A 7,884-nucleotide genomic window follows, 5' to 3' on the forward strand; every position below is an offset into this window, starting at 1 on the left:
ATGGTGTGAACCCGGGAGGCGGAGCTTGCAGTGAGCCGAGATCGCACCACTGCACTCCAGCCTGGGCGACAGAGAGAGACTTCATCTCAAAAAAATAAAAAAATGAAAAAAAAGAAAAGCAGTCTAAGTTGGGAGATTGCACCATTAGCAAGTATTAAGCACTATTTGCTGCATAGCAAAATATCTCAAAACTTAGAGGCTTAAAACAATCCTTCCTTCCTTCCTTCCTTTCTTCCTTCCTTCCTTCCTCCCTCCTCCCCTCCCTCCCTCCCTCTCTCTCTTTCTTTCTTTCTTCTTTCTTTCTTCTTTTGACAGTCTTGCTCTGTCACCCAGGGTGGAGCACAGTGGCACGATCTTGGCTCACTGCAACCTCCACCTCCTGGGTTCAAGCAATTCTTGTGCCTTAGCCTCCTGAGTAGCTGGGATTACAGATATGTGCCCCACACCCAGCTAATTTTTGTATTTTTAGTAGAGATGGGGCTTTGCCATGTTGGCCAGGCTGGTCTCGAACTCCTGACCTCAAGGGATCCTCCCGCCTTGGCCTCCCAAAGTGCTGGGATTACAGGTATGAGCCACTGAGCCTGGCCCAACGATACCCCTTTTCTTTGGTTTACTAGTCTAGGAGTTGGTTGGGCATTTCTTCTAGTTTGGGCCAGCTTGATGGTCTCTACTGGACAATTCCATGTGTCTGTGGCCAGTGGGCAGCCAGGCAGCTAGGACACCTTGATGCTGCTCTCTGTGGCCTCTTATCCCCTGGCAGGCCCGACTGGGCTCATTCCCATGGTGGTTTTGGGATTCTAAGCCTGTGCAGCACTGTTCAAGTCTCTGCTTCTGCGGCATTTGTTACCGCTGCACTGCAAACGTGGATGAAAGCCCTAATGCGTGGCATGCTCGTGGAGACCCACTCAGTGTTATCTTCTTAGTTCCTTTGGAATATCAGGGTTCACTCTTTCAGCAGGGCACAACTTCCAAGAGTGAGAGGGAATGTTCTCTGAATTCCTCCAATCCATAGCTCACTCTTCTTAGGTCGAGCAGGAATAATGGTATTTGACGCTGCATGGTAATCTGGCCCTAAAGTGGATTTCCATCACCCCGCTGGTCTCTGGTCAGCATCTGAGGGGTCTGACTGTTCACGGGTGACTCCACCCTACACAGACACCCCCGCTTTGGGGGCATGAAATCTTAGGATGGTGCTGAGATTGTGCTGCTCTGATGCTTTGGGATGAAAGCTAGACTTTGGTCGTGGTGGTGGTGGTTTATCATTGCTGTGGATTGAATTGTGTCCTGCATTTACCAAATTCATATGTTGAAGCCCTCACGCCCAATGTGATTGTGTCTGGAGACAAGGTCTGTAGAATGCAATTAGGGTTAAATGTGTCACAGGGTAGCCCTAATCTGATATGACTGTGGTCTTATAAGGAGAGGAAGAGAAAGAGCTTCTTTTCTCTCCACCATGTGAGAACACACTGAGAAGGCACTTGTCTGCAAGCCAGGAAGAGAACCCTTGCCAGGAACCAAATCAGCTGACACCTTGATGTGGACTTCCCTACCTCTAGAACTATGAGAAAGTAATTTTCTTTTATCTGTAAGCCACTCAGTCAATGGTATTTTGTTTCAGCAGCCGGAGCCAACTAATACATGCGGCCACCTTCTCTCCATGCCTGCACTTTCTGTTCCAAGCCATCTGGTGGAAGCAATCCAATTGCCTGCAGAATCATCCGAAAGCATCACTGGGAAGAAGCTGGTGGAACTAAGAAGCAATTCTTTAGCCTGACAGCCAGTCTGTTTTTAGTATTTCTAAACATGAAATCATCTCAGAAGAAGCCAAGGGCTGTCGAGGTGATTTGCCTGAGGTCCTACAACTCATCACTGACTGTGTTTGGAGGAAGGAAGTAATTAACTATAAATGTGATTATAAGGGTGGGGCCTTAATCTGATAGGACCAGTGTCCTTATAAGAACAGGAAGTGTGTGCGTTCACTGAGGAAAAGCCATGCAAGAACACAAAGAGAAGGCGGCTGTCTGCAAGCCTGGAGGAGAGCTCTGCCTAGAAACTAATCCTGCCGGGCATCTTAATCTTGGAATTCCAGCCTCCAGAACAGTGAGAAATAAATGTCTGTTGTTTAAACTACTCAGCCTGTGGTATTTTGTTATGACAGCCTGAACGAAAAAATACAGTCACTTAATGTCCAGAGAGAAAAAACATGTTTGAAGCTAAGAAACCATCCACTCAGGGAGGATCAGTCATCAATCCTCCTGAGTCTGAGCCATCTGAGCTATCAGCCCAAGTTCCTAGAGGCTCTAAGGACAGGGGAGTTCACCTGTGGCTAGTCTCCTGAGCTACAATGAGGTATGGGGTGTGGGTGTGTATTTTCTCCTGTTGCATTTCCGTTTTTTTTTTTTTTTACATGAAGTTTCACTGTGATGCCCAGGCTGGAGTGCAGTGGCACAATCTGGGCTCACTGCAATATCCACTTTCCGAGTTCAAGCAATTCTCCTGCCTCAGCCTCCCGAGTAGCTGGGATTACAGGCACACGCCACCATGCCCAGCTAATTTTTGTCTTTTTGGTAGAGATGGGGTTTTACCATGTTGGCCAGGCTGGCCTCAAACTCCTGACCTCAAGTGATCTGCCTGACTTGGCCTCCCAAAGTGTTGGGATTACAGGCGTGAGCCACCATGCCTTGCCTCTCCTGTTGTATTTCTAAGTCAGTTCAGAAATGGGTCCTGAAGAAGAGGGTGAAGGGTTAGAGGCAACAGCTTCAGCTCTATTTGAAATCTTAATTCATGACATCTCGTTTCTGAATGGTGAGACATAAAGATCACCACTTACATGTCATTAAGCACAGAACCCTTGATAAATTAATGAGAAAACACATTCTCACTTCATTTTATGAAGTCTAGGTTATATGGCTATGTCCCTCCTCACATGTATGTACATTAGCAGTAAAGACACACCTCAGCAGGTCAACTCAGTTTTCCATGGATAAATTATTTTCTTAAGTTTCTTTTTGAGCCACACACACCAATAATACCAGACAGAGCTGAAATTCTGCCATCATTGTTTTGGAAAATGGTCAATTCTGTGCACTTATCCTAGATGAGTTCTTTTCCCTGAGAAGTGATTTTAACATTCTCTTGAATCCAGACAAACATGTGATGATTATATGTAGCATTTTCTCCAGAAACCATGTTTATTTTCACCACTGGGAATTACTTTTCTTGGGCTTTTGTGGTACAATTTCCCTGAATGTGTTCCAACCATGTGCATAAACACAGCAGCAGTGTGTTACAAACAAATTCTACTCCTTGCCAAGTGTCCAGGAATATCAAAAGCAAATATTTCCTAGTATTGCTTAGGAGAGTAAAAAAGGAGTGATGAAAGTGAAGACATTTCAATTTGAATTGATACCACATTTGACAATAAATTTCTCCAGGCAGTGACGACTGGATAGGACTTGAATGGAAGGCCCTCTCACCTTTCCCCTTCCACCTGAATTTTGCACCTGTCTCCAAGGGTTTGCCTGCACCTTGCCTCCGGAGGTCCTGTCCTCCAGCTTCGGTTATTTACTGCATCACATTCACCACCAATTGCTGCCCTTCTTCTTTCTGCCCTTTCACAGGCCAGACGTTGGTTTGTTCATCCATTGGGAATATTTATTTATTAAAATCAATAAATACATATTTATCAGTGTAAAACATACTTATTATTCAAAGAATCAAACAGAACCGAAAATCTCACAATGAAAAGAATAAGTCCCCTTGCCCCTCCCCAAGGTCCCCCAGCCCAGCTTCTCAGAGTCACTCACTTTTAAACTTCTTAGCAGTTTCTTCTGCTAGTCACCTCCATAGCTTTTAGTCAGTATGCTCATATAATTACTTCTTGATTTGATCAATTTTATTAAGTAATTGTGAAATGATTTTCTGTAATGACAGATTTTCTTGCCTCATGTTTTTGTCTTCTCTCACATCTTATCATACAGTTGAATCAATAATCAATATTTTTATTACTAGGATAGCTATTTACATATTGTTCACTGAGGCCCCAAGAGGTGAATATACAATGTGTCCATTTCCTGTTTTGTGGAGCTTTTTGTTTCTGCTGGAGTTTTTAATTGCCTCATTTTTCACTTGTATATTTTCTAGCCACATATTTTTGTTATTGTCCCCAAATGTTCAATTTTTATAATTTGTTCTACTAGATTTCTCCCTTTCCCCAAGAGTCTTCCCTTCTGCATACTTCTATAAACCCGTCACATCTGGGCTGCTTGCCCTCTAGGCCTGTGGCGCATTTCTCACCCTAGAGCTGCTTCTTACTCTCCTGGGTGGGGCCTACTGTTTCTTTGCTTCCTTGTTTTCCTAATGTTACTGGACATTATTTTCAGTAGCTATTTAAGGAAGGGCCAAGAAAGGTCAATTTTATGAATCTTTATATGTACGAAAATTTCTTTAGTCTGTCTTTACATGTGATGAATACTTTGCTGAATGTATAATTTCAGGCTGAAAATAATTTTCCCTTGGAGTTTTTTAGGTATTAGTGTCTTCAGGAAGATAGCAGGCAACATAACATCTTCACTGATAATGAGGTGGTAAGTGAAGGCCTTAACTTTAAAGTTAAAGATTTAAAGATGCCCCTAGTTCCACCTCCTTTATACAACTCATTCACCTGTTTGCTTAACACTGAGCCAGTGCTCGGTGCTTCACAGTGGTCATTCTTTACAGGCTGAAGGGTCTTTGCCTAGGTGGTTTGTGTCTATCAGTACATCCAAATATCTTTCCCTTTATAAAAAATAGTGTTTGTCATTTTCTCAGCAGGGTTTTTTTTTGTTAATTTTTTTGTTACGAGATAGTACCCCCCACACCCCCCAACTTGTGGTTGTCTTTCCTTTCAAATTGGAATGACTCGTCTATTTCTCAATAGATCTGAAGGACTGCTGCAGGTCGTGTTTTCTTCTTCAGTTTTGCTGGCAGCAAGCCAGGGTTGGGTGCCAACAGCACAGGGTGACACTGAGGCCAGGGCTGCAGGGTGTGTTTGGGTGAGGCCTACATGTTTCCTCTATAGAGCTGCAGTGGAGACAAGAGCCAAGACAAGGAAATTAAGGAGCAGCAGAGGAAGGGTGGGCATGAGGATGTGCTCCTGGTTGCATTCTAACTCTCTCAAACACCCTCTTGGGTCCTTTCTGCCCAGTGATGGAGCCCAGGCACCAGGCTGGCATCAGGTCTCAGCCCACTGCTGAAGGGAGGGAGGGAAGGAGAATAAAACTTGGCCTGTGTGATAGCATGAAAATCAATTATAATTTTGAATTTGGAAAACAAAGCTCTGACCCTTGAAAGACAGACCACCTTCAGAAAGATGCTTCGCAAACAAATTTAAGATCCAGGCAGGGAACAGCATTTCCTGTCACCAAAAAACCCCTGCAAGTTCATTTCCCTCCAAAACACGATTTCTGCAATCTTCTGCTTTTCCAGGCACATAAGCCACTGCCTTAAGCTCCTGAGGTACATGGTAGAAGAGGACAAGGACAGTTGGCTCTGGTTCCTATGTCCCTGAGTGTGTGGGTGGGCCTCTGGTCCCCATATCCCCGTGCGTGGGTCAGGACCTGGTCTGGAGCGTCCCTGGGTGTGCAGGGAGGGCTGGTCTCAGGGTTCCCCAGGTGTAGGTGGTGGGATCTGTTCCTTTTTTGTGGTCATCCAGCAGGGTGTGCATGAGGTCAGGGTGGCACACAAGGTCCTCTCAGAACCTCTTCTTCATGCTCATCGTGCCTGTGGAATGTCCCAGGCCAAACACAGCCTTGAGGGACTCTGAAGGGTCCTCCATGGCTGCAGCCCTTGCTCTTGCTAGATGTGTTGTGTCTGTGAAGATGTTTCCATATAGATTCCAGGCTGCTGAGCAGGTCTCTCCTATGCAGGCAGGAAATGGGGTTGCGGGGAGGGGCAAGAGAAGATAGAGACAGTTGGAGGTAGGGTACATATGGAGATGATTAGTTTGGTGATCTTCAGTGGTCAATGCACTAAAGATCATGGGAAAGGAACTGTTATGGCCTGAATGTTTGTGTCCCTTGAGATTCCTGTGCTGAAACTGACTCTCCAGTGTGATGTCAGTAAGAGGTGGGGCCTGTGGGAGGGGATGAGGTCATGAGGGTGGAGCTCTCGTGAATGGGACTAGTGCCTTCCTGAAAGAGACCCCAGAGAGCTGCCTCACCTCTTCTACCACATAGCGAGAAGGCGCTGTCTCTGAGGAAGGAGCCTTCACCTGGCCAGACAACACGTCTTCTGGTGCCTTGATCTTGGACTTCCCAGCCTGTAGAACTGTGAGAAATAATTTTTTGTTGTTTATAAGCCACCTAGTTTATGGTATTCCATTATAGCCACCCAAATGGATGAAGACAGGAACTAATACCACTCATGGGCTGAGCTTCCCCAAAGGCAAGGCCCTGCCAGGGAGGTTGGTTGGTGGAACGGCAGGAGTGGTGTCAGTCCTGCCTGTTCTCTCCCAACAGCTACGCAGACACACAGAAACTTGTGGATTTCGTGCAGAGGGGCCATGCTCTGTTTTTAAAAATTCTACTATTGATATACTTCAACAGGGTCCAGGTTGTCTCATTACCTCGTCTTTAAAGTCTTCAATAATGAATAAAGTGAATAGGAGCTGGCAGAACAATCCTTACCTCTCTCCTGACTGTGGAGGTCTTGTGGGTGGGAGATGACACATTTCTATACCATCCCTTTTCTGCCCACAGAAAATAGTGGGAAAAGATACCCAAGAACATCACACAAAGGAAAGAGAGATTTGATCTGCCTCTGTCTGCCCTGCTGGGCTGTGGGGCAGGGTGCCCTGGGCCTCAGTGTCTGCTCTATGCATGAGCAGAGAAGGCAACCAGCTGTGGGCAAGGGGAAAATGGACCCTAATTCTGGATTTAGCCACAATAGCTTGTGCTGCCCAGAATTCTCCTTTGCTCATGGCAGATTGTGGTGTGTGTGTCCACGCTGGAACAGTGTGAGCGGAGGGGTGGGGGGTATCATTTTCACTTGGTTCCATGGAGAAACCTCAAGGGAAACTGAACTTGGGCTCCAAATCTTAGTTTGTTCTACCACTCCGTAGCCTTTTCTGTTGACCCCATGTCCTGCTAGGATACTTTTGTGTCCCAGGATTTGCTCTGGTGTGACAAGAGGGCCAGAGTTAAACAGAGGAGCAGAGAAGCTTAAAAACTGGAACGTTCCCAGGGATGGTGCCAAGGTTGGTAAGCAAGGTTGAAAATGGGGCTGTGCACACACAGGGTACAGGGGAGAGGCTCCAGTTTCCTCTTCTCTGCAGGAACTAGAAACCAGCTTTAAATGTGCCCCTTGCCACATGCACACCTGTGATGCCTCCAGAAGTCCCCACTGGCCTGGCCTTGTGTAGGGGTGTGTAGACACGCCTCTCACATACCCTGTCCCCCTGGGGTGAGCCTGGCTGAGGGCAGGGCTGAGCGTGGTGTGGGGCAACCCCAGCATCACCCCTGTTCTAGATGCTTTCAGGGAGGGTGGCCCTGCAGGGATCAGAGGGCTGGCACACACAGGCTCCAGAATCAATGCAAGGCAGTGGGGAAGACCTCTCAAATTTCTTGCGAGCCACCCACTGTGCCCATCTGAGGACAAGGCCCAGCAGGGAGCCACTGGCCCCACTGCCTTGCCTGTGCCCCACTGTACATTGACACTTGGAATAGGGCATGGCTGTCACCTCACTTATTTTTACTATTTCCTCTTGATAGAGGCAGGAGGCAGAGAAACTCTAGACAGACAGGAGTTGGTCCCTGGTGAAGCCCCACTTTCAAGCCAAAAAGCCTGACACCCACGGCTTAAAGTGAGAACTTCCGTCCCTCTTTGCCTACTCTCTCCCTATTAGTT

At 46.6% G+C, this 7,884-nt stretch overlaps 1 protein-coding gene across 1 annotated transcript in view, besides 1 other annotated feature; it reads left to right on the forward strand.

Annotated features, from left to right (window-relative positions):
• Window positions 1-2,130, forward strand: part of NXNL2 (nucleoredoxin like 2) — a 49,333-nt gene extending 47,203 nt beyond the window's left edge. Inside the window, exon 2 of the mRNA XM_011518276.3 lies at window positions 1,619-2,130. Coding sequence (XP_011516578.1) covers window positions 1,619-1,754 — 136 coding nt within the window. The 3' untranslated portion in view covers window positions 1,755-2,130. The remainder of the gene's footprint in view (window positions 1-1,618) is intronic.
• Window positions 7,018-7,523: an enhancer, noted in NCBI's record as "H3K4me1 hESC enhancer chr9:91204313-91204818 (GRCh37/hg19 assembly coordinates)". NCBI's record gives its function as "activates a minimal SCP1, AML or CMV promoter by ChIP-STARR-seq in primed H9 embryonic stem cells {active_cell/tissue: H9 hESC(primed)}" and the evidence as "EXISTENCE:reporter gene assay evidence [ECO:0000049][PMID:30033119]".

This window comes from Homo sapiens, chromosome 9 (assembly GCF_000001405.40).
Source record: "Homo sapiens chromosome 9, GRCh38.p14 Primary Assembly".
Lineage (NCBI taxonomy): Eukaryota > Metazoa > Chordata > Mammalia > Primates > Hominidae > Homo > Homo sapiens.